General features: G+C 43.0%; 1 protein-coding gene across 1 annotated transcript in view, besides 1 other annotated feature; it reads right to left on the bottom strand.

Moving 5' to 3' along the window:
• Window positions 1-27326, bottom strand: part of TEX36 (testis expressed 36) — a 106642-nt gene that overhangs the window by 31570 nt on the left and 47746 nt on the right. The window lies entirely within an intron of this gene.
• Window positions 21689-21983: a silencer, noted in NCBI's record as "tiled region #5499; HepG2 Repressive non-DNase unmatched - State 13:Ctcf". NCBI's record gives its function as "represses a minimal TATA promoter and a strong SV40 promoter by Sharpr-MPRA in HepG2 cells {active_cell/tissue: HepG2}" and the evidence as "EXISTENCE:reporter gene assay evidence [ECO:0000049][PMID:27701403]".

Here is a 27326-nt window from a genome sequence, read left to right on the forward strand (position 1 = left end):
GGTTTAGCAACAGCTCACAGGAAAGGATATTCCAGAGCGGGGAAAACAGTCACTAAACAAGGACACTGTTCACAATAAAGAGAAAGGAGGATGTGGGTCCTGTGAGTGTTGCTGTATGTGAAACCACCCCAAAGCTTGGGTCTTAGAGGGGAGTTTGTGGGTGGTGGAAATGTCCTATAGATTGTGATGATGGTGATGATGGTTTCATGACTATACATTTGTCGGGAAAACTCATTGAACTACTGAAAAGGGATGCGTTTTACTAAATATAAATTGTAACTTAGTAAACTGACTGTTACAATTAAACAAAAAACTTTAAAGAATGAAAACAACAGTCATTGATTATGCTCACAAATACTATGGGTTGGGAATCTGACATGGAAAAACTTGTCTGTCCTCCACGAAGCCTGGGACCTCAGCTGGGAAGACCCATAAGCTGGAAATGACCAAGTGGCTGAGGGCTAGAGGGACCAGGAACTCCCTACATGTCTAGTGTCTGGGCTACGGGCTGGTGTGACTGGAAAACTAGACTGCCCCCTGGAGCACCCCTATTTCAGCCTCCCCGCTCAGCACATCTTGTTGAGGGCCTACTGTGTGCCAGCACTAGGGATGCAGAAGTTAGCGCCATAGACAAATAGCCCCTTTCCTTTTGGAGTTGACAGTCTAGAGAGGGAAGGCAGACAGGAAACAACATTATACATAAGGATATTAACGGTATGTTAGAGGTAATACATGCATGGAATAAAAATTTTAAAAAGGGAGGCCGGGCGCGGTGGCTAACACCTGTAATCCCAGCACTTTGGGAGGCCGAGGAAGGCGGATCACTTGAGGCCAGGAGTTTGAGACCAGCCTGGCCAACATGGTGAAACCCCACCTCTACTAAAAAAAAAAAAAAAAAAAGAAAGAAAAGAAAAGAAAAAAAGGAAAAAAATGAGCTGGATGTGGTGGCGTGCACCTGTAATCCCATCTACTCAGGAGGCTTGAACCTGGGAGGCGGAAGTTGCAGTGAGCCGAGATGGTGCCACTGCACTCCAGCATGGGCAACAGAGGGAGACTCCATCTCAGGAAAAAACAAAACAAAAAAAAAAAAACTTTTAAACTAAACAGGGGAAGGGGTTGGAGAGGTGGGAGAGGGAACATTCTCTGTGTGGAGTTGTGTGGTTGGTTGGTGGCCCTATGTTTTGTTTTGACAATTCAATGGTGTGAAATGGAATCACATTATGGTTTTAATTGCCTGAGTTCAGTGTCTTCAGATGTGTGGCAGACACTGCTAGCTAGTCACCCAGCACGGTTCCTCTTTTTCTTGGGCACAGTTAAACTATATTTCCCAAGCTCAACTGCATTCAGCTGTGGCCTTGAATGGTGATCTAACCAACAGAATGTGAGTAGCAACCTGCTACCATCCCCAGGTCCAGCCCAGGAAAACCTCCCATGCGGGATCCTTCTCCTTCTTTTCTTTTTCCAGCTGCTTAATTCCTACGGCAACTTTGGAACTACCATATTGAAGATGGCAGAGCCTCCAACAGCCAGGAACCCTGTGAGCTGTGAAGAGAGAACTTTGCCCCTCCCTTCACCAGCCTGGAACATTTGCCCTGTTTATATGAGCAAGAAAGAAACGTCTGTTGTGGGGACACACGTTGCAGCAGCAACCCCATCCTAACTCACACCACATGTTTATTGATCATTTGGTTTCTCCTGAGAATTACCTGCTCAGACTCTTCACCAAATTTAGTATGGGGTTATATTCTTTCATTTGTCTGTAGTGAGATATGAGTTTGGCAGGACTGGTTTCACAAGATACAGGTCACGAAGACCCTGCTGATAAAACAGGACGCAGTCAAGAGGCTGGACAAAACCTGCCAAAACCAAGATGGTGATGAAAGCAACCCCTGGTTGCCTTACTGCTCATTATGCGTTTATTATAATACATGAGCATACTAAAGGACACTCCCACCACTGCCATGACAGCTTACAAATGCCATGGCAATAGCTGGAAGTTATCCTAAATAGTCTGAAAGACTGGGGAACCCTCAGAGAATTCCCTGCCCCTTCCCGGAAAACTCATGAATAATCCACCCCTCATTTAGCATATGATCAAGAAATAACCATAAAAATAGCCAACCAGCAGCCCTCAGGGCTGCTCTGCCTATGGAGTAGCCACCCTTTCATTCCTTTACTTTCTTAATAAACTTGCTTTCACTTTACTCTGGTGGCTAACTCTTCAATTCCTTCCTGCATGAAGCCAAGAACCCAGATGGCCTCCCAGGCTGAACCCCAATTTGGGGGTTCTGTATATCCTGCCGTTTTCAAAGTGTGATCTTTGGAGCAGGGCATAAACTGCACCTGAAGTCTTGTTAGAAATGCAGACTCTCAGGCCCCACCCAAACCTGCTGAATCGGAACTTGTGTTTCAAAAGATCTCCTGGCGATGCCCATGCATATTGAAGTTGAAGAAGCTCGGTTTCAAATGTTCTGAAATAATTCTTCCTCTTTTCTATGCGTTGAATTCATTTTCTGCCAATTTGTAGCAACTTTTGCATTTTGGGGATCTATCTTTTCATGTACAGATTTTTTTTAAATTTTAACCTTGTAGTATTTGCCAATATTTTATGTTATGGTTTGTTTGCCCTCTTTGTCACTTAAATCCTTCTCTTCCTGAGATCACACAGATATGATGCTATATTTTCTTCTAAAAGTTTTTAGTTTTTCTTTTCACGATTGTTCTTTCATCTGGAATTTACATTTGTCTCTAGTGTGCTATAATGCTCTCATTTTATTTTTTCATATTGATAATCAATTATCCCAGTGTGGTTCATTGAATTATCCACCCATTGCCTCCTGACTGGTAGTGTCACTCGAGTCATAGGTGCTATCTTACGTTTCCGTGGATGTGTGGTTCTGGCCTCCCTATGAATTTTTCAGTTGTGTAACCTGCCTTTTTTTCATTTAATCGTATATTGTGAACATTTTTTGGCAACATTAGCAGTTCCTGTACAATGCAAATTTTAATGGCTGCCTAGTATTCTGCCATACTTTATTTTGTTAGACAGTTATGTTGTTTTCAGTTTTACTCTATTGTAAATAACACTGGGGTTAATATCCTTCACGCAATCTTTGTACACATGCATATTGATTTCCTTATGATAAATTCTTTGAGTGAAATTACCAAATAGGCATATTTTTAAAGTAGTTGATAGATACTGCCAAATTGCCCTCCAGAAAAATTGTACCAATTTATATTCCCACCCGTTTCCTGCCACTTTCCTCAACATTTTAATACCTCAGCATTCAAATCCCTGCCAATTTCATAACCTGAATAAATAAAAAGACATGCTATTGTTGTAATCCATGTGTCTTTGATGACAACAGAAGGCAAATATTTTTTAGATGTTTATTGGCCTTCTGTATTTACTTGTTTTAATGTGTGTGTGAGACTGTCCAGTTCTAAGCCCGTTTTTTATTTTTTCAGTAGGTGCAGGTATCTTTTTCTTATTGATGGATAAAGCTATTTATATATGAAAAATTTAACTCTTGCCTAGGCTTATTGCAAACTTTTTTTGCAATTTGCACTTTGCCTTTTACTTTTGCATATGGTGTTTTTTTTTCAATGAGCAGAAGCTTTAAATGTTGACAGGGTCAAATTTTGCAATGTTTTTCCTTAGTATTATGCTAAAAGAAAAATATAAGCCCTACCTCCAAATTATCCCTCTATGTTTTCTTTCTGTTCTTTTAGATTTTGTTTTAAATGTTTTACTGTTAAAAGGAAATTGTCCCTCAGGTCTCTGCTTGTGTTTTTTCTGATTTCCCCAGTCAGGTAAAATGCCTCCTGAATGCCAGATACCTGCTGTCATAGCACTTTGCACAATGGCAGTATTTTCTGCTTGTGTGATTCTTTGATTAATGTTTGTGGCCTACTGTAGCATGCGAGCCTCATGAAGAGGGCAGCACTGTCTCTTTTCCACTCCCTTTTCTTTTCTTTTCTTTTTCTTTTTCTTTTTCTTTTTTTTTTTTTTCAGACAGAGTCTTGCTCTGTCACCCAGGCTGGAGTGAGGTGGCAATCTTGGCTCACTGCAACCTCCACCACCTGGGTCCAAGCAATCCCACTGCCTCAGCCTCCGGAGTAGCTGGGACTACAGGTGTGCGCCACCACACCCAGCTAATTTTTGTATTTTTAGTAGAGATAGGATTTCACCGTATTGGTCAGGCTGGTCTTGAATTCCTGATCTCAGGTGATCCACCCACCTTGGCCTCCCAAAGTGCTGGGATTACAGGTGTGAGCCATCGAACCCCAGCACCCATCAAAGTGCCAAGCACCTGTATCTGCTCTTGTGTTACCACTCAGGGAAACTGAGGCTTTCTGTTTCTTTCTATCAGCCCCCACCTGTTCTATTTAGCTCAGCTAATATACATATATACATATTTACATATGTATGTATATATACACACATTACTATGTATATAGCTTTATGGCTACACATTTATATCCTATCCAGTCTTTTTGTGAGTTTGCAGCCAGAAGTCTGCCTTGGTTCATTGGGCAACTGTCCTCTTCTTACCTGCAGTAGCTCCCTTAGTAATCCCCCGGGCTTTATAAGCAGGCAAACATCATACCTAAAAGTAATCGAGTATATCTTACTTTTACTAGTTACAAAGTGCATCTTTGATTTGTTTATCACATCCGCTAAAACTTCCAGAACATGTGGGGATTTTACAAACAGGAAAAAAAAAAACTATATAAAACCAAAATAGAAGAAAATGGCTAGATTTCATTTGGGTTGTAATTTTTTTTTCAATTACAAATTTTAAAAGATATCTGGATGGTCTCCTGATGTGCACACAAAGATAATTTCCATCATTCTTATATCAATACTAAAGGCAGCCACCAGCCACCCCCACCAAAAGCCTGCTCTGGTCTCTTTGCACCACTGCAGAAGTCCAGTGTTCCAGCTGAAAGAAAAGTCCTGCCACCTCCAGCTGAGAGACTGAGAGCAGAACAGTAGCAGAGTGTCGTGTTGAGGTGCCCCGCCCGACTGTCAGGAAAGCTAGGGTCAGTCCCAGCTCTGCCGCTCGGCTGGAATCCTGTCTTGGACAAGACTGTCTTTCTCTAGGTCTCATTTCCCCACTTCCTTTTTTTTTTTTTTTTTGACATCTTTTATTTATTTATTTATTTATTTATTTATTTATTTATTTATTTTTATTATTATTATACTTTAAGTTTTAGGGTACATGTGCACCATGTGCAGGTTAGTTACATACGTATACATGTGCCATGCTGGGGCGCTGCACCCACTAACTCGTCATCTAGCATTAGGTATATCTCCTAATGCTATCCCTCCCCCCTCCCCCCACCCCACAACAGTCCTCAGAGTGTGATGTTCCCCTTCCTGTGTCCATGTGTTCTCATTGTTCAATTCTCACCTATGAGTTAGAATATGCGGTGTTTGGTTTTTTGTTCTTGCGATAGTTTACTGAGAATGATGATTTCCAATTTCATCCATGTCCCTACAAAGGACATGAACTCATCACTTTTTATGGCTGCATAGTATTCCATGGTGTATATGTGCCACGTTTTCTTAATCCAGTCTATCATTGTTGGACATTTGGGTTGGTTCCAAGTCTTTGCTATTGCGAATAGTGCCGCAATAAACATACGTGTGCATGTGTCTTTATAGCAGCATGATTTATAGTCCTTTGGGTATATACCCAGTAATGGGATGGCTGGGTCAAATGGTATTTCTAGTTCTAGATCCCTGAGGAATTGCCACACTGACTTCCACACTGGTTGAACTAGTTTACTGTCCCACCAACAGTGTAAAAGTGTTCCAGTTTCTCCACATCCTCTCCAACACCTGTTGTCTCCTGACTTTTTAATGATTGCCATTCTAACTGGTGTGAGATGGTATCTCATTGTGGTTTTGATTTGCATTTCTCTGATGGCCAGTGATGGTGAGCATTTTTTCACGTGTCTTTTGGCTGCATAAATGTCTTCTTTTGAGAAGTGTTTGTTCATGTCCTTTGCCCACTTTTTGATGGGGTTGTTTGTTTTTTTCTTGTAAATTTGTTTGAGTTCATTGCAGATTCTGGATATTAGCCCTTTGTCAGATGAGTAGGTTGCGAAAATTTTCTCCCATTTTGTAGGTTGCCTGTTCCCTCTGATGGTAGTTTCTTTTGCTGTGCAGAAGCTCTTTAGCTTAATTAGATCCCATTTGTCAATTTTGGCTTTTGTTGCCATTGCTTTTGGTGTTTTAGACATGAAGTCCTTGCCCATGCCTATGTCCTGAATGGTAATGCGTAGGTTTTCTTCTAGGGTTTTTATGGTTTTAGGTCTAACGTTTAAGTCTTTAATCCATCTTGAATTGATTTTTGTATAAGGTGTAAGGAAGGGATCCAGTTTCAGCTTTCTACATATGGCTAGCCAGTTTTCCCAGCACCATTTATTAAATAGGGAATCCTTTCCCCATTGCTTGTTCTTCTCAGGTTTGTCAAAGATCAGATAGTTGTAGATATGCAGCGTTATTTCTGAGGGCTCTGTTCTGTTCCATTGATCTATATCTCTGTTTTGGTACCAGTACCATGCTGTTTTGGTTACTGTAGCCTTGTAGCATAGTTTGAAGTCAGGTAGTGTGATGCCTCCAGCTTTGTTCTTTTGGCTTAGGATTGACTTGGCGATGCAGGCTCTTTTTTGGTTCCATATGAACTTCAAAGTAGTTTTTTCCAATTCTGTGAAGAAAGTCATTGGTAGCTTGATGGGGATGGCATTGAATCTGTAAATTACCTTGGGCAGTATGGCCATTTTCACGGTATTGATTCTTCCTACCCATGAGCATGGAATGTTCTTCCATTTGTTTGTATCCTCTTTTATTTCCTTGAGCAGTGGTTTGTAGTTCTCCTTGAAGAGGTCTTTCACATCCCTTGTAAGTTGGATTCCTAGGTGTTTTATTCTCTTTGAAGCAATTGTGAATGGGAGTTCACTCATGATTTGGCTCTCCGTTTGTCTGTTGTTGGTGTATAAGAATGCTTGTGATTTTTGTACATTGATTTTGTATCCTGAGACTTTGCTGAAGTTGCTTATCAGCTTAAGGAGATTTTGGGCTGAGACAACGGGGTTTTCTAGATATACAATCATGTCATCTGCAAACAGGGACAATTTGACTTCCTCTTTTCCTAATTGAATACCCTTTATTTCCTTCTCCTGCCTAATTGCCCTGGCCAGAACTTCCAACACTATGTTGAATAGGAGTGGTGAGAGAGTGCATCCCTGTCTTGTGCCAGTTTTCAAAGGGAATACTTCCAGTTTTTGCCCATTCAGTATGATATTGGCTGTGGGTTTGTCATAGATAGCTCTTATTATTTTGAGATACATCCCATCAATACCTAATTTATTGAGAGTTTTTAGCATGAAGGGTTGTTGAATTTTATCAAAGGCCTTTTCTGCATCTATTGAGATAATCATGTGGTTTTTGTCTTTGGTTCTGTTTATATGCTGGATTACATTTATTGATTTGCGTATATTGAACCAGCCTTGCATCCCAGGGATGAAGCCCACTTGATCATGGTGGATAAGCTTTTTGATGTGCTGCTGGATTCGTTTTGCCAGTATTTTATTGAGGATTTTTGCATCAATGTTCATCAAGGATATTGGTCTAAAATTCTCTTTTTTGGTTGTGTCTCTGCCTGGCTTTGGTATCAGGATGATGCTGGCTTCATAAAATGAGTTAGGGAGGATTCCCTCTTTTTCTATTGATTGGAATAGTTTCAGAAGGAAAGGTACCAGTTCCCCCTGGTACCTCTGCTAGAATTCGGCTGTGAATCCATCTGGTCCTGCACTCTTTTTGCTTGGTAAGCTATTGATTATTGCCACAATTTCAGCTCCTGTTATTGGTCTATTCAGAGATTCAACTTCTTCCTGGTTTAGTCTTGGGAAAGTGTATGTGTTGAGGAATTTATCCATTTCTTCTAGATTTTCTAGTTTATTTGCGTAGAGGTGTTTGTAGTATTCTCTGATGGTAGTTTGTATTTCTGTAGGATCGGTGATGATATCCCCTTTACCATTTTTTATTGAGTCTATTTGATTCTTCTCTCTTTTTTTCTTTTTTAGTCTTGCTAGTGGTCTATCAATTTTGTTGATCCTTTCAAAAAACCAGCTCCTGGATTCATTAATTTTTTGAATGGTTTTTTTGTGTCTCTATTTCCTTCAGTTCTGCTCTGATTTTAGTTATTTCTTGCCTTCTGCTAGCTTTTGAATGTGTTTGCTCTTGCTTTTCTAGTTCTTTTAATTGTGATGTTAGGGTGTCAATTTTGGATCTTTCCTGCTTTCTCTTGTGGGCATTTAGTGCTATAAATTTCCCTCTACACACTGCTTTGAATGCATCCCAGAGATTCTGGTATGTTGTGTCTTTGTTCTCGTTGGTTTCAAAGAACATCTTTATTTCTGCCTTCATTTCGTTATGTACCCAGTAGTCATTCAGGAGCAGGTTGTTCAGTTTCCATGTAGTTGAGCGGTTTTGAGTGAGATTCTTAATCCTGAGTTCTAGTTTGATTGCACTGTGGTCTGAGAGACAGTTTGTTATAATTTCTGTTCTTTTACATTTGCTGAGGAGAGCTTTACTTCCAAGTATGTGGTCAATTTTGGAATAGGTGTGGTGTGGTGCTGAAAAAAATGTATATTCTGTTGATTTGGGGTGGAGAGTTCTGTAGATGTCTATTAGGTCCACTTGGTGCAGAGCTGAGTTCAATTCCTGGGTATCCTTGTTGACTTTCTGTCTCGTTGATCTGTCTAATGTTGACAGTGGGGTGTTAAAGTCTCCCATTATTAATGTGTGGGAGTCTAAGTCTCTTTGTAGGTCTCTAAGGACTTGCTTTATGAATCTGGGTGCTCTTGTATTGGGTGCATATGTATTTAGGATAGTTAGCTCTTCTTGTTGAATTGATCCCTTTGCCATTAAGTAATGGCCTTCTTTGTCTCTTTTGATCTTTGTTGGTTTAAAGTCTGTTTTATCAGAGACTAGGATTGCAACCCCTGCCTTTTTTTTGTTTTCCATTTGCTTGGTAGATCTTCCTCCATCCTTTTATTTTGAGCCTATGTGTGTCTCTGCACGTGAGATGGGTTTCCTGAATACAGCACACTGATGGGTCTTGACTCTTTATCCAATTTGCCAGTCTGTGTCTTTTAATTGGAGCATTTAGTCCATTTACATTTAAAGTTAATATTGTTATGTATGAATTTGATCCTGTCATTATGATGTTAGCTGGTTATTTTGCTCGTCTGTTGATGCAGTTTCTTCGTGGTCTTGATGGTCTTTACATTTTGGCATGATTTTGCAGTGGCTGGTACCAGTTGTTCCTTTCCATGCTTAGCGCTTCCTTCAGGAGCTCTTTTAGGGCAGGCCTGGTGGTGACAAAATCTCTCAGCATTTGCTTGTCTGTAAAGTATTTTATTTCTCTTTCACTTATGAAGCTTAGTTTGGCTGGATATGAAATTCTGGGTTGAAAATTCTTTTCTTTAAGAATGTTGAATATTGGCCCCAACTCTCTTCTGGCTTGTAGAGTTTCTGCCCAGAGATCTGCTGTTAGTCTGATGGGCTTCCCTTTGAGGGTAACCTGACCTTTCTCTCTGGCTGCCCTTAACATTTTTTCCTTCATTTCAACTTTGGTGAATCTGACAATTATGTGTCTTGGAGTTGCTCTTCTCGAGGATTATCTTTGTGGCGTTCTCTGTATTTCCTGAATCTGAATGTTGGCCTGCCTTGCTAGATTGGGGAAGTTCTCCTGGATAATATCCTGCAGAGTGTTTTCCAACTTGGTTCCATTCTCCCTGTCACTTTCAGGTACACCAATCAGATGTAGATTTGGTCTTTTCACATAGTCCCATATTTCTTGGAGGCTTTGCTCGTTTCTTTTTATTCTTTTTTCTCTAAACTTCCCTTCTCACTTCATTTCATTCATTTCATCTTCCATCGCTGATACCCTTTCTTCCAGTTGATCGCATCGGCTCCTGAGGCTTCTGCATTCTTCACGTAGTTCTCGAACCTTGGTTTTCAGCTCCATCAGCTCCTTTAAGCACTTCTCTGTATTGGTTATTCTAGTTATACATTCTTCTAAATTTTTTTCAAAGTTTTCAACTTCTTTGCCTTTGGTTTGAATTTCCTCCCGTAGCTCGGAGTAATTTGATCGTCTGAAGCCTTCTTCTCTCAGCTCATCAAAGTCATTCTCCATCCAGCTTTGTTCCGTTGCTGGTGAGGAACTGCGTTCCTTTGGAGGAGGAGAGGCGCTCTGCTTTTTAGAGTTTCCAGTTTTTCTGCTCTGTTTTTTCCCCATCTGTGTGGTTTTATCTACTTTTGGTCTTTGATGATGGTGATGTTCAGATGGGTTTTTGGTGTGGATGTCCTTTCTGTTTGTTAGTTTTCCTTCTAACAGACAGGACCCTCAGCTGCAGGTCTGTTGGAGTACCCGGCTGTGTGAGGTGTCAGTCTGCCCCTGCTGGGGGGTGCCTCTCAGTTAGGCTGCTCGGGGGTCAGGGGTCACATTTTCCCACTTCCTAATGGAGGTGCCTGCCTCCCAGCTCCACAGCCTAGGTTCCTGATACCATGGCCTTCAGCTAGTGCAGGTCCTGCCCACCCTCCAGACCTTGATCTCCAAGAAAGGTTATCTTTGTCAGAATAGATGCAAGCCAAGGGATACTTAAACACTGACTCCCAAGCCTGCTGCAGTGACGGTGTTAAAGAGATAAGCCTTGGCCAGGCGCGGTGGCTCACGCCTGTAATCCTAGCACTTTGGGAGGCCGAGGCAGGTGGATCACTAGGTCAGGAGATCGAGACCATCCTGGCTAACACGGTGAAACCCCGTCTCTACTAAAAAAAAAAAAAAAAAAAAAAAAAAAAATACAAAAAATTAGCCCAGAGTGGTGTCGGGTGCCTGTAGTCTCAGCTACTTGGGAGGCTGAGGCAGGAGAATGGCATGAACCCGGGAGGTGGAGCTTGCAGTGAGCCGAGATCGCGTCACTGCACTCCAGCCTGGGTGAAAGTGCGAGACTCCATCTCAAAAAAATAAAAATAAAAAAATAAAAATAAAAATAAAGCCTTGGAGAATATCCGTTATTGGTTGAGTTGCACCAAGACAGATCGTGGAGAAAATAAACCCTAAAGCACTGTAAACCTATCACAGAAACAGAGCACTGAAGGCAAGCAATGGCGGGAAAGAACAAAATCAACAGGAGGCACCACCACCAAGTTCAGGGGAAGCAGAGGCAAGGGTGCAAATCCTTCAAAGCCGTGCAGGCACCACCTCTGCAGGGCTCCATCCCTGGTCCCTGCCCCAACACCACCACCCACATTCCCCTCTCCTCATAGTAGAGGTCTCCACCACCATGCCGTCTGCTCCTTGAGAACACGGACTATGCCTCATCATTTTGTGTCTCCAAGCACTTTTTGAAAGCTCAGATGGTGAAGTAATTTGTTTTTTGTTTGTTTGTTTGTTTTTGAGACGGAGTCTCGCTCTGTAGCCCACGCTGGAGTGCAGTGGCGCTGTCTTGGCTCGCTGCAACCTCCGCCTCCCGGGTCCAGGTTCAAGCAATTCTCCTGCCTCAGCCTCCCGAGTATCTGGGATTACAGGCGCACACCACCATGCCCAGCTAATTTTTGTACTTTTAGTAGAGACGGGGTTTCACCATATTGGCCAGGCTGGTCTTGAACTCCTTACCTCATGATCCACCTGCCTCCGCCTCCCAAAGTGCTGGGATTACAGGCGTGAGCCACCTCGCCCGACCATTTTTTACTATTTATTTATAAATATATATATATATGTGTGCATATATATATATACATCTATATATCACCTAGGTGCATGTATCATTGTAAAAATTTTTCACATCATTAAATATTCTTGTAAAATATGATTTATTAGTAGCTACATAATGTTGCATCTTGTACCTAAGCATTCTCTATTTTGCCAGGTATTTAGCTTTGCTCTTTGAGCTGTTTTAAGTAACTCTGTAACATGCATCTTTGCCCCTAAATCTTTGTCTGAGTATCTTGTCAGTCCCCTAGGATTTGTCCTACTTGGGTCAAAAGCTATGAACATTTACAGGGCTGCTGAGATATACTACTACATTCCTTCCAGAAATGTACAAGCACTGTCTGAAGTTACCCATCTCAACAAATCCTTGCGAGCACTAGGTTTTAAATTATAATAATAAAAATCTTCGCTCATTTTGTCAAGAGAAATGGAAACTCATTGTTGCTTTAATGGCCTTTTCTTTGATTACTAGTGAAGCTGAACATTTCCTCATTTGGCTACTGTCCATTTGTAATTTATCTTTTGTGAGTTTTCTGTTCATTCCTTCTTCCCTTTCTCTCTGTCTCCCTCTTTCCCTCTGACATTCAGTGAAGATGTGTTGAGCATTGATTTGTCAGACCATGGCAAACAGGGATCAGGAAGATACAGTCAAGGACTCACAACACACCCCAGGCCAGAACACTAGCTGGAGCCAGTGACAGTTGCTGCCAGAAGGCAATCACAAGTCAATTTTTTTTAATTGTGGTAAAATGCACATAAGATAAAATGTGTCAGCTTAACTATTTTTAAATATATACTTCAGTAGTGTTAAGCTTATTTACATTGCTATGCAACCCATCTCCAGAACATTTTCATCTTGCAAAATTGAAAATCTGTACCCATTAAACCGTAACTCCTCAGACCTCCCTCCCCCAGAACCTGGCAACCACCATTCCAGTTTCCATCTCTGTGAATTTGACTACTCTGGGAACCTCAATTAAGTAGAATCATATAGCATGTGTGTTTTTGTGGCTGGTTTATTTTATTTAATATAATATCCTCAAGATTTATCCATGTTGTAGCATGTGTCAGAATTTCCTTCCTTTTTTAAAGCTAAATAATATTCCATTGTATGGATAGACCACATTTTGTGTGTTCATTCATCCATCAATGGACACTTATTTCTATGTTTTGGCTGTAGTGAATTGTGTTGCTATAAAAATGGGTATACAGATACAGTATCCCCAAATACCTGCAAGTATCTTCTGGGTATATATTCAAAATATTATTTGGGGATATATACACTCTGAGTATATAGAATAGCTATCCAAAGAATATTTTGGATATATACCCAGGAGCGGAATTGCTGAGTCATGTGGTAATTCGATTTTTCGTTCTTTGAGGAGCCATCGTGTGTTAAGCAGTCACACCATTTTACATTCCCACCAGCAGAGCACAGGGGCTCCAATTTCTCCACATCCTCACCAACACTTGGCATTTTCTGTTTTTTTTTTAATAGTAGTCATCCTGACAGATGAGAGCTGATATCTCATTTTGCTTTTGATGTGCATGTCCCTAATGATTAGTGACATGTTTTCATGTGCTGGTGTGGTGTGTATCTTCCCAGTGTGTAATTTTTGATATTGCCTTTTCCACTTATATTAGTCAGGGCTCTCCAGAGAGACAGAACTAATAGGATATATGTATGTATAAAATGGAGTTTTTTAGGGAGAATTGACTCACATGATCACAAAGAGAAGTCCCACGATAGGCCATCTGCAAACTGGGAAAGAGAAAAGCCAGCAGTAGCTCAGTTCAAGTCTGAAAGCCTCAAACCCAGGGAAGCCAACAGTGTAGCCTTCCATCTGTGGCCAAAGGCCCAAGAGCCCCCCAGAAGCCACTGGTTCAAGTCCCAGAGTCCAAAGGCTGAAGAATCTGGAGTATGATGTCCAAGGACAGGAGGAGTGGGAGGAAGCACCCATCATGGAAAAAGAAGGAAGCCAGAAGACCCAGGAAGCCAGATCATCCCAACTCCCTCCACCTGCTTCGTTCTAGCCGCACTGGCAGCAGATGGGATGCTGTCACCCACATTGAGGGCGGGTCTTCCTCTCCCAGTCCACTGACTCAAATGCCAATCTCCTCTGGCAACACCCTCACAAACACACCAAGAAACAATACTCTACCACCCATGTAGCCATTCTTCAATCCAATCAAGTTGACACCTAATATTAACCATCACAAGTCTACCCATTGTCAACTGGGCACCCATACACATGTCCTGAAATCATACTTAATCTCCACATAAAGACAATAATAAGGTCGTAATTATGCCTAACATAATACAGCTATCCTTCGTACAACAAGAAGCACACTAATCCTTAACCTAAATGCTAAGACAAACAACGCTTAAATGCTGATATGAAGTCAATAAATTTTATGTTACATGATAAAGGAAAAAGAAAAGAAATAAAATGAAGATATTTCCTTAGTACAGGTGTATACATGCACAAACATATTTTTAACAAAATAAGGAGTAAATACTCATGACAATTACAGTCTTCATTTCTACAACTGGTCACGTGGTCATAGCTGTTATTGATGACTACCTTCTTCTACGCATTCTGTACTCCCTTTGCCTTCAGCAAGTACCTTGGCTGATCATGATTTTTCACCTGGTACTGTGATCCTTCATTCCTGAAAGTCTGGGTCATTTGTTCCTGCCTGGATTAGGCTGTAGTTTCCCATTGGCCTTAGCTTCCAAGATCAGACGAGATGGGATGGATTCAGTGTGGTATGGTCGTAGAGCCATTGACCTTAATCCCAGGGCATGGTAGTACTAAGAGACGCCCAGAGGGATCTCATGTGCTCCACACATACTCTTCCTTACCTTCATCGAGGAGTAGTAGTCGATTTCATCTTGATAGTCCAGGTCAATCACCCCAACCAACACTGGAACTCTCTTCTTAACCTGTTGACTTAGAGGCAGGAGGAGCCCAGAGTGGCCAGGTGGCAGTGTTAACTTCCAGTTCAATGGAATCATTGTTGCGTCTCCTGGTGACAGCATTCCTCCCTCTGGAGCTAAGACCTCTAGGCTTGCAGAACATAGTGTCACAGTAACAGGAAGCAAAAATTCTGCTAGTGGATCACTAGAGGTGATGGTGAGTGGTGCCACTTCCACTTTCATCCCTTGATTCCTGGACCTGTGAATCTTGGCTATGGGAGAAAGAGTACCATATATTGGAGGCTGATTCAGAGTATACACAGCCTTCTGGAGAACTTTGCCCCAACCCTGCAAAGTATCATCACCTAGTTGGTGTTGTAAGGCCATTCCACTGTTCTATCAATCCAGCTGCTTCAGGATGGTGGAGAACATGGTAAGAATAGTGAATTCCATGAGCATGAGCTCACTGCTGCTCTGGCAGCTGATGGGATACTGCCCACCCACATTGAGGGTAGGTCCTCCTCTCCTAGTCCACCAACTCAAATGTCAATCTCCTCTGGCAACACCCTCCAAGACACACCCAGAAACAATCGTTTACTGGCCATCTAGGCATCCTTCAATCCAATCAAATTGATACCTCGTGTTCATAACCATCACATTTAGCACAGAAACACTGGGAGAGATTTGTCTTTCTGCATTAGCTCATGACTGTTTAGTAATATGTGTAACATGAAACTGACTCGGAAATATCCCCAGGATTGACTGGTTTCCAAATGAAAAAAAAAAAAAAAAAGTCTCCTGTTAGTCCCTGATCAACCAAACCCTGCACAGCCCCAAGACAGGAAGGTGCGAGGCCCTGTACGGGACTGATGGGTAGGTCTGAAGAGACTCTGTAAGTGTGAGAAAGGCACTTTATTCGAAGGCATTCTGGCTCTTCGAAGTCTCACTGTGAATGTTGTATCAGCAAATATGTACCCAGGGATTTAATAACACATTAAAGAAAGGATTGGACATAAATTATTTTGAATGGCTGTCTATGCAGTTTGAATCTATAAATAATCAGTCGCCTCTTTGTTTTAGCTCTGGAAAGAGGGCATGGGACATAGTAACAGGGATCATCTTATCCTCACCTCAGAGTGGACACACGTGTGAGCGTTAGTGGGATTAACCCGTGTGGACAGGTTGGGAGGTTTTCTAAGATGTTGATAATTTTTCCCTCTTGATATCATTAATTCTCTATGTCTCTGCTTTCAGATTTATCTGCAGTAACTTTTTGATTCTAAGCTGGACAAACTGCAGTCCTGAATCCCTTCTCCCAGTTGTGAATTGTTACAGGCTCAGAAAGGCAAGTTAATCTTAGTGTTTGTGGAAGCAAAACACATTCTGGCTGTTGAATCTCTTGATCTTCTCCCAAGACCTCCCTGCCATTCACTATCCCCCTAAGAACTTCCCAAATGACAGTGAGAGACACCGATGCTCATGTGAATTTTGACAGGATTCTTTCTCTGAGCTCGGGGCAGGTGCGGCTCCACACAGGTTGAGTGTTGGGGGTAGTCAGAGACCAGAGAAGAAAGTGGGGAAACCCAGGGGCAGACATCCTCATGTCCTCCAGTCCTGAGCCTGTTTGGGCTCTGAATCAGACCAAAGGATTTGATTCTCAACCCTGTCCTGCAAAACAGATCAGAGGGTCCTGAGGAAGAGTTGCAATGGGTCATGACTGGTGGGGCTGGTCATAGCCAGTCAGAGGTGCCATACAGCCCCAGAGGTCTCCATACACTCCCCACCAAGCTTGTTCTGGTGAGCTCATCTTCATTGGAGGTGGGGAATGACCCTTCCTCAAGATGACCAAATACTCATGAGATGTATAATTCTACAGAAAAAAAAAAAAAGGCCTGAAAGCAGCAGCAGAAACAGAAACTGTATGAATTTTAAAGGAGTGTTGTCCAGCGCACTTGGGGAAATGGCACAGAGGGTTTTGTGAGAGGGGGCTCGGGGGCAGATCCCAGGGAAAGTGACTGTCCTTTCCGCAAGCAAGCACAGCCACCTAAGAACAAGCCATCTTTTTGCATAAAGAGATAAGGAAGGGGCACAAAGGCGGGCACAGATGTCCAAAGGCAAGAGCCGTCAACACAGGAGCCAAAACTGCAGAGGAGGCCAGGGTGACCTTGGCCTCTGGAGAACAAATACAAGCAAAACAAAGTTTCCAGGAGACATGCCAGACAATTGAGATGGCAATCTCTCCAGATCTGGCAAGGGCAACACCTCTTCCAGAAAGTCCGTGCTGACTCTTGCACCTCCCCAGTACTCCAGGTGGCCCCTGGCTCAGCCATCACTCAGCTTTTCTCAGGACACGCAGACGATATGCGTGCATCCTAATCTCCCACCAGACATGAGCCCCTCCTGGGCAGGACTGCCTTATTCAGCCCTGGGTCTAAGCCCAGAGCCCAATTCCAGGCCCAGCACAAAGTAAATGTTCAATTAAACTTTGGTGACAGGAACTGAAAATAGTTTAGCACCCCCCACCAAATCCACAAATTTTACTTTGTGGGTGTGCAGTGTGACATGGAAGGCCATTAAAGGGTTTGAGTAGAAGACAGAGAGTTGCCCAAATTGAAGGTAAAAGTCAGATTTGATCCAAAGGTTATTTTGATGTTCTGGATCAGTTCATAGTTTAGTCTAAAAATGTTAGTTTCCATCTGGGGGTTGGCAGAATTGTGTGTAGTAAAACCTCAGTGACATGTTCTCTTTCAAAAGGAGAAATAAGAGGCAGACTGGAAGGTGAAACATGACACAGTTGTTATAAATAAACTAATTTTAACAACTTTATTGAGATGTAATTTACATAACATAGATATAGAACCATAAATATGTCATACGTGTTCAACTAGATGCAACCTCTCACAGAGAGCAAGGAACAGAACGTTGCCAACACCCCAGAGGCGCAGCCCTGGACTCTTCAGTCTTGGCACCTGACCCAGTGCAGAGCCACTTTCGTGGCAAATACTTTCTGTGTATCTACCGGGCTATGTTTCTCCAAGCGATGCCACCGCTGCTACAGGTGAAGGATTTCCTCAACTCTGAGCACGCTCCCTCTGGTCATGGGTTCTGTCGGAGTTGGTATAGTGGACACCGAGGTGTGCCGCCCAGACCGCCCCCTGCCATGAAGGAGGCATTACCCATCACCTGCTCTCGTAGACACCTTCAGGGACCACGGCTGCAGAGAACGACCTCACCCAAGGTTACAGACCAGTGCAGGTGATAAAGGTCAGGCCATCTTAGCCCAACTCAGGACAACTCTGAAGGGCCATTCTAGCTCAGAGCACCCCTGGGGTCAGCCAAGAAGCCACTTTTCTGCCGCTGCCCAGTCCTGCTCCCTCCTCCTCCCTTCTACAAGTTCGGTCCCACGAGCCCTCCCTGGTAAACAACCTGCACACTGAACTCCACCTCAGACTCGGCTTGCTGGGGACCCAACCTGCAACAGTCGGCTCCCCATTCAGCCTTCCTGCCTTCACTTTCCACAGAGGGTGCTGAGTGCCCCCTATATCCTGGGCCTGGCATCAGGACTGGCCAATGTTGACAGAATAGTCATTAACGCTCATGTGCCTGCTGTGGTGCTGTGCTGTTTACAGAGCACTTTCATGCATGTTATCTCATTTCCTTTCTTTGTCTGTGCATTCATTCATTTACTCCTCATCCAACAGACATCGTGAATGCTTGCTCCACACAGAAGTGAAGATATAATGAAGAAAAAGACCTTTCCTTCCCCTGGAGAGCTCACAGTCAACTGCACAAGGCTGATGTCAAACCAGAGAATTCTCCCAGGCATTAAAGCCATGATGGAGCAGACACAGAGGCCATGAAGTGGGGAGAAGGAGGGCAATCAGGGAGGGCTTTCTGGGGAGGTGGGAACTCGGAACCAGCAGCTGGAAGCAATGGGATCCAGGAGAGCACTAAATCCAACACCGAACACTACAGTCATCCCAGCAGTGCAAGAAACCTGCACACAAACCAAGCTACTCAGAGGTTTCTATTGGTCTAACCCGGGATGGCAGGAAGTCAGAGACGTCTAATGGCCTTGCACTTCCCTCCAGCACGACCTCCTGGAGGCTCCTTCCCACTGGGGCCTGGGAAATGGAAGAGAGGAGACTGAAAAGGGAAGGAGGGAGTTTCCGGAGGGGGCTGGTGGGATTGCAAATGAAAGAATAACAGGATCTTGGAAAGCTGCCCCAGGTCCCACCTCAAGCACTGGATTAATTTAAATCCTTCTTTGCCACTTTCCAGAGTCAACAGGATTTGCTAAGTGTTGTATCTCCCGTAGGAGAAGAACCTTGAGAGAAAAAGATTTTTTAAATACATGTAAGTGAGATGTTTTCACTAATCTGATTTTGGGGCATATTGACACTTGTGAAATATTTAAATGCTTAATTGTGCTGTCAGACACACTACTTCAGAACATATCTGGATAGAAGAACAATGAGCATTAGATTATGCTTTTAGATGTTACAGAGATGAAAATATATCTTGGCTATTTATCAAATTAATCACCCTATAATCTAAAGACAAATGGGATTCCTAGGGCAGTATTCAGCCAGTAATTTAATGCCTAAGTTTTTCTGATCAATAAACCATTGGCCTGTTAGAATATTTAAGTCATGCTTAAAGTCATTCAGAAAAAAAAATCTATTAACTTAAGTTCTTGAAAGCATGTCTTTAATTTAAAACGTCATTTTCTATTTAAGCATTGCATTTTACATTATTCTAAAACAATCCTGATCTTTTTTATCTTAATTTTAATAAAAAGAGTGAAACAAATATTTTGAATCAGAACTATGGCATAATGTATTGTCTTTTGTTCAATTAATATTTTGTTCAACAAATATACAAATAAATAATGCCATCGCATTGTACAACTCCAGGGGACACCATTCCTGTTTTATCCTTGAGAAACATCCAGGTCTGCGTGAGTCCTTGGGACACCAAGGGATAAAACAGAGCTCTGGGAGCTGCAGACGCCAGCACAGGGCACTGCAGAGCCCAGAGGAGGGTGTCAGTCTCACTGGTGGATTTGAGAAGGTGCCAGGCGGTAACACCTAGAATATCAAAGCCACAGGAGACTCTTCAAAGATTATCCAAATGAGAGATTAAGAGACTTGTCCAGGCTAACTGAAGTGACTGTAAGACCAGAGTCACAATTTACTGCCTGTCCAAATTTAGTATGCCTACACTCACTGGTTAAAAATTATGCAATTTATTGGTGCCTTAAAAAAACTATTAATAAAATGTATTTGAGACCATGTAATGATAAGAAGCATTTGGCACCTGAAGGAAAAAAATGCAAGTGTGGTGTTGTAGAATTCTGTCCTATGAAAACATCTGGCTTTGTGTGCTTGTCGTGGAAGGGAGCAAAGCTTTAAAGGATTCCATCTGGAGTCACTGCATTAGCTGTGCCCACTTAATGCTAACAGGCTGCAAAGCAGCGCATGTTCTGTCGAAAATGATTTCCACCTCAGCACCCTGAATATGGAAGCATAGTTAATGTCCCACTATATCTTATTTGTTATTGTGGCCTCTGGTGTGGGTTTGTGGCTGCTGTGCAAAGTCTTCCTGGAATCATATTGCAGTGAACCTTCAGAGAGGAGAATGGAAAAGAAAAGAAGCTGCTTTTTAGAAGTTGCTTTCTTTTGGAATAGATGAGCATATCAGTCTCTAATAACACTGACCAGGAAAGGCTTCCTTTGTCTTGATTTTTCTCTCCCGATGATGATAATTAGATTTCCGGACACAGGAAGGAAGTGTGGAATGGAGCATCGTTTTGGAGGAATCTTTTAGAAGTGCTTCTTGAGATCGTGCATGAGTATGCAGCTGGTAAAGAAGATGCAGTGTTCATCTACCATCTCTGTTTTCAGAATCATTATTCTAAAGATTTTTATAGAGCGAAAAGCTGGGGGATAAAAAGTAAGAGTAGTTAACTGTCTAGGGAGTGCCTGCTGCATCCCAGACATTGTCACAGACATCCCAGGTGATGCATGATCACAGGGAGACTTGTGGCTGTGGTAGGGGGGACAGAAGAGTTACTGAGGACTGATGACGCATGTGCCGGGCATGGAGTTTCATGCTTTATATCCACTACCTTATCTATTCCTCACAACATCCTCTTGAGGAAAATAGAAGTGTGAGCTCCATTTGACAGGCGAGAAAGCTGAGGTTAAGAAAAGCTATTTCATTGCCCAGTCATATGACTTACACCCAGCCTGGGAGCTCCATGGCCTCTCTGTAGTTCGGAATTTGTGCAGGGCAAATTGCAAGTAAGCCATCAGTCAGAGTCTGATATTTCAGCCTGATCTACATCATAACTGCAATTAAGCTGGGCTGCAGAGACCAGCACTGGTCACTCACAAAAAAAGGACTGACTGTGTGGTGTGCAAGGAGCACCCTGTGATAGAGACGATCTGAAGTTCATATGAGATATTTTGAAAAAACAATTTGTAATCAGAAAAAACCCATGTTCTGAGAAACCTGTTTCCTCATCTTTCTTGAAGAAATTGAGGCGACTTCAAATTTACCCAACGAATTACTTCATTTTAATGTCAGAATGCATGGGGGGAGGTTCTGAGGTGAAAGAAAAATCAGTGTAATTGCTTCTTTTTTCAAAATCACATATTACTTTGTTCATTATAAAATAATGAAGCATTATTTAATCCAATTATGAAATAAATGAGATTGAGTAAATAGCACATCTGCATTCATTCGGTGATATAAAGTCAGGAAATGTTTATCCCACTGACATTTAAAAATAGCAGCTCTATTTTTCTTAGTAATTAAATTATAGGTGTTTTCATGACAAGAATATATTTTATAATAAATACAAATATGGCATTGTTAAATTAACTGTTAGGGATGAAGGCCTTCCCAGCTGGCTGGGTTTTGAAATGTAGATTCACTTCTTCAAAACCGAAGTCTATCCATCACCATGATCAATATGAAAGAAAATCATCAGTGAATTTTTTTTTAAGTCACTGTGAGAGACTAGGGTTAGGTCCGCAAGGCCCTATTCCAGTAAGTACACCTGCCCTTTGGATGAAATTTTTTTTAAGTCACTGTGAGATACCAGGGTTAGGTCTGAGAGGCCCTATTCCAGTATGTACACCTGCCCTCTTGTGGTATGCATCTGTATGATCACATACTATGCATTTTTAAGACCAGAAGACATACAATATTCCAAGTGGCTGTCTATAAGCCAAGCCATAGGGCCTAGTCCTCAAATAGTTCTGATTCTTTACAACAAGTGTTTTCTAGACGCCTCCTCTGCTAGGCATTAAAAATCTCAATGTGCTCATATTTAATGACAGCTATAATGGAATGAAATTATTTTATTGGCATTTTATTATTTATTTTGTTTCAGCTACTAGGGGTGCATAACAAGTTACCCCAGAACTTCATGGTGTAAAATGTCCATTCTCCGAGTCAGGAATTCAGACAGGGGATGGATTATCTGGGGTCTCAGGAAGGAGGCTCAAAGTCTGGGGGCTGGATACACTTGAAGGCTTGTTTACTCCAGTGGTGGATGAGACTGACTATAGGTGGGAGCCTCGGTTTTTCTCAGTGCGTGTGGGCTGTTCATGTGGGCTAGTCTGGGCTTCTTTAGAGCACAGTGGCTGTGTTGCAAGGATGAATGTTCTGAGAGAGAGAATACTAGGCAAAAGCTCTATTCGTTTTTATGATGCAGCCTCAGGAATTAGACATGGTCACCTCTGCCATATTCTACTGGACACAAAGGGCCAGTTCTTATTTAGTATGGGAGGGGACTGCCTAAGGACATGAATACGGGGAAATGCGAGTTATTCGGGCATCTGGAAGGCTGACTGCCATGCATGTCGATGGGAAACTAGTGTCTGTTAGGGGGATGGCACCCGGTCCTAATGCACTCTCCATCCAACTGCGAGCCAGTGTGGAGGGTTGACGTCCCCTCCCCTTCCCACTTCCACTGGAATGTCTCCAGGAAGATGATCAAGGGGAGAAGTCCTGAGAGAGGAAATTACCCAAGGGAAGAGACCCAGTCTTCCAGGATGTAGCTCTGGAGTTAAAAAGGGAGGCCAGAGGCGGGGCTGTAGCACAGATGGGCAGGAGGGGGTCAGGCTCCAGGGAAGGGTGGGAATGGGACTTCTCCCTATGCTCCTGTCTCAGGTTCTCTTCCCCATCCCCACTTCTGCCTGCTTTTTAAGAAAGTCCCATCAAGGACTTCTGGGAGAAATACGAATGACTAATAAACATTTTTGAAAAATCTTCAATCTCACCAGTAACCCTGGAAACAGACACTGAAGCAGCAAATCAGGCATGCTGAAAGGATTTTATTAGGCAGGAAAGGTATGGTCAGAGTGCTTTCTCCAATGACTACAACTGCATTTGATCAGAACATTGACTGCTGCCTATAATTATCTGAGTACATCTCAAGTCTTAATTCAGATTTTTTTAAATGAGTATTTTGACTCCTAAAAAATAGCGGGTATTTAGGAACACCAGCTGCTGACATTGTGGTCACTAATCATGAGCTATTTCAGAAGCCCTCTGTGTAGCCACACACCTTCGGGGTGGGCCTCGGCTGTATGACGGAGGAGAGCCCTGTCCTGATCTTGAACATTCTGTGTCATCGCCGGAATGAGAGAAAAGCGCATTTTCTGAATGTGTTCTCTTAGAGGCAGGAATGATCAACTATAGAAGCCAGAGGAGGATGCAACTCATTCTCCTTGGGTTTGGAGGGATTTAATAAAATGGAGTGACCAGGGGCAGCGTTGGGATGTGTGAGGATCCAGAGAAGATGGATTGCACCTGGGTCTTGAATGACAGGTGAACAGGATTTTTTTCTAGGTCCTCCCTTCTGGTGGGTAGGGGGAGAAGCATTCTAGGTACAGAGAACAGCATGGCCAAGGCCCAGCGATGTCAACGCGTGCTATATGTGTGGGAAGTGGCAGGTGCCTGGTGCCCTGGTTGCTGACACAGAAAGTGAGTATTTGGAAGCAAGTGAGGCCACTTGCAGAGGCTGGTACAGAGTGGTCAGGGGCCATGCAGGGAGGACGAACTTGGTCCACTGGTGGGGAGCCTGGCATGGTCTTTTAAGCAGGAACACCAAGCAATCAGGTGTGTATTTTAGGAGAAGCCCTCCGTGTGGTGGCGTGTGGAGGAGCAAGAGGATAGGACAGAAGATGGCAGCAGAAAGCTGGAAGTGAGGGGGATCTGGGGCAGTGTGTGTGGGAGTGGGAAGAAGGAAATGACGAAAGAGACTGTCCTCAGGCTGAATGGCAGGGTGTGGGCAAGGGGCATCTATGAGGACTCCCAGGCTTGGGGCTTTGGTGACTACATAGATGGCAGTGTCTTCAAGCAGACAGAATGTGGACTCTGACGAGGAGAAGAGTGGTCTGGGGGAGAGGTGGCACTCACATTTGGACTGGCTGAGTTGATGTGCTCGTGAGACGTCCAGGGAGCAAGTCCAGCAGAAACCAACCCTGGTTCTGCCTTGGGATATTTATCTGGTGAAATCCTCTTGGCTTGTCTGTGTGTCTTCTACCCACTAAGATGCACAGTCCTAAGGGAAGAGACTCTCCTTCTTTGTCCCGCATCTCCTGTGCCTAGTACAGGGCCTGGCACCTTGGAAGGTTCAGTAGACTTAGCTGGATAAACGGCTCTCTACATAAGGGACTGGCCCACAAAATGCGTTCAGGAAGAGAAGCTAAGGGAGGGAAGAGGGCCCAGAGTGTAACTCTGAGGACCACCTTTTGAGGAATGCCTAGAAGAGAAGCTGGTAAAAGTGATGGGAAATAAGAGAAAGGAAAGAGCGGGAGAACAAGCCCAGCTGGTGTATCTGTCACCAGCTGCACGAGCTGCTCAGCTACAGTCCCTGTTCCACCTGGCAGTATGGGCTGGGGTGGGCCAAAACTAGTTCCGTCCGCTTTTCTGCAGGATCCCCTCCCAATGGACAGCCAGGTGAATAAGCCAGCTCATGTCTCTTGAGCCATTTTCTTACCAAAGATCAGAATTACATGCACACTGGCCAGGTGTGGTTCCCCTGTAATCCCAGCATTTTGGGAGGCCAAGGCAGGTGGATCATTTGAGGTCAGGAATTCAAGACCAGCCTGGCCAATATATGAAACCCCGTCTCTACTGAAAATACAAAAATTAGCTGGGCCGTAGTGTCATACGCCTGTAATCCCAGCTACTCCGGAGTCTGAGGCAGGAGAATTGCTTTAGCTTGGAAGGTAGAGGTTGCGGTCAGCCGAGATTGTGCCACTGCACTCCAATCTGGGTGACAGAATGAGACCCTGTCTCAAAAAAAAAAAAATTATATGCATACTTCACTTCATTGCCTCATCTTTCCACTTTGTCTCTCCAGAGGGAAAATTCCCTAAAGACGGTTAATTACCTGAAAGAATTCAATAGGTGGAAAGACCTGATGAGAGATGATTTTTTGTTAATGGTGGCAACTTTGGAAATCCGTAGGGATCAACATCTCTCTAGATGAAAGCTAAGAAACCCAGTCTGCTGATATTTGGTTGAATTTCTTGGGCTACAGCTGATTTGCTTGACATTGGACACCTCCTGTAATGCTCTCAGTTCTGGGTAATGGCATCTGCTAAATAATTAGCTAATTGTTTTACCAATCGATTTTTTAAAAACATTCCATTGTAAAACCTATATAGCAGGAGAAAATGTAGAAAACAGAGGGAAAACGATTTCCCCAAATCCTGCCCCAACACAAAGGTTCTGATAGCGATTGTGCACTTCCAGTCCCTCCCCATAAGCAGACGGCTTTTTAGTTGCAAACACCATGTACCTCGTATCCTGCTTTTTTCCCACTGAACATTATCTGATTCTTTTTTATGAGCAATGAAATTTGATACGAGGTGCTGCTCACATGATGTTTGGAAAAGACCGTTGTTGGAAGGATTGGTGAGTACTTTCTAAGCCCCATCGACATCAGGGAATCAGGAAATTAAACTTTTTATTTATTGGTCTTTGACTTTCCCATAAATGGACACGGTTCTACGTTGTTTGACTGCATTGTAAAAGCAGACGCCTGGCGAACAAAGGCATGCCGATGAGTAATTAGGCATTAAGCGGGAGGCAGGGAGCACTTTATGGGGCCCTTTAGTACCCACCCCTCTGCCTCTAGGGTTCAAGTCTACCCCTCAGCATTGGATACCTTTACTTTCTTGGATTAAAACAAAAAAAAACTTACTTTTTTTGGAGCAGGGAGGTTGTTTCTGGCTTTGTTTTGTTTTTGCCCAGATGTTTAAAAACAATGAGCTGACCTTTGTATATTCATTTAAGGGAGGGGATAAAGGATGTTTGTTACATACATGATTTTTTAAAAATCCTGTTGTCTGAATCTTATTAATCTTGCATAGTGCTTGAGTGATTGGGGACTTAAAATATAGAGAGTGTGATTCCTTCAGCAGAGCCAGCAGAAGCCAGGTCCCAACTTTGCAACATCTCTCTTTGATGCCAAGCAGAGGAGGTGACCTGACCTCATTTACCTCCACACATTTGATGTCATTCCGGAGAGGGTAGGTTGTTATGACAAGTTCTTCTGTGAGCCCACTGGGGTTTTTAGTCTTGATCCGAGTACTGATGGGGGAGCAGTTTTTGCTTTGGGCACTTTTCCTTGTGAAATGCATCTCTTCATCTGCTTAGTCCAGAGCAAACTTCTTATCTTCTCTCCCTGTGATCACAGCTATTAAATAAATAACAAAAGGGAATCTATCTTCTCAGAAGAAAAACTGAAGCATTCTTTTCTGCCTTGGTAAAAGGTTATCTTTTCTGCAGACACATCTTTGGTTGCGTGCTGCAACTTTGTAGAAGAAAATGATAGTTGCTGCCTGCTAGAATGGATAGCGCCCATTTTGTTAAAAATCAGAAGGTTAAAAAATGCCCAGATCTGCAAACAATGGTTTAGCGGTTGGCTGTGCTGAAAACATCCACCAGTTCATTAATGCAATACGTCATCATTGAGGGTAGATAGAGTGAAGTACTGTGACTAGCTAAAGGTGAAACGATGGATAGTGAGCCCCTGTCCCCAAGGCATGTAGCTTGGGAGGAAGATGAAGCTGTACAAAGATGCCTAACATACAAGTGGGCTGTGCTCAGGGCTGTGAGGGAGCTCAGAGAAGGAGGTAACATTTCCTCAGCTGGGGCCAGGATGGAATGATGAGGTCTTCCCTTAAGCAAGGCAGGGAAAGGGATTAAGGCCACACCAGACGCATTGCCAACCTAAAATTCCTTGGTTTTCTGGGAACTAGCAGAATCTACCAATAGTGCATGAGAAGTGTAACTAGGGGCTTGATTTTGTGAAGATTTAACAGCAAAGAGTCTTGCCAAGAAGCAGGCTCCACCACATTGCTCCATGCATTTAGGAGAAGGGATCCAGAAAGGGATCCTGCATGCCTCACCCATTAGCCATTGGAATCTTCTAGGTAGCCAGACTCTTACCCTGCATCTAGCACTTTGAAAAACGTTGTGCATTCATTTTCTCATGCAATCCTTAATTATACAAGGAAGGTCCTATCATTAGCCCCAATATAAGGATATGAAAACTAAGACTTAGAAGTAACTTGCCCAAGGTC

Source organism: Homo sapiens, chromosome 10, assembly GCF_000001405.40.
Source record: "Homo sapiens chromosome 10, GRCh38.p14 Primary Assembly".
In the NCBI taxonomy this organism is placed as follows: Eukaryota; Metazoa; Chordata; class Mammalia; order Primates; family Hominidae; genus Homo; species Homo sapiens.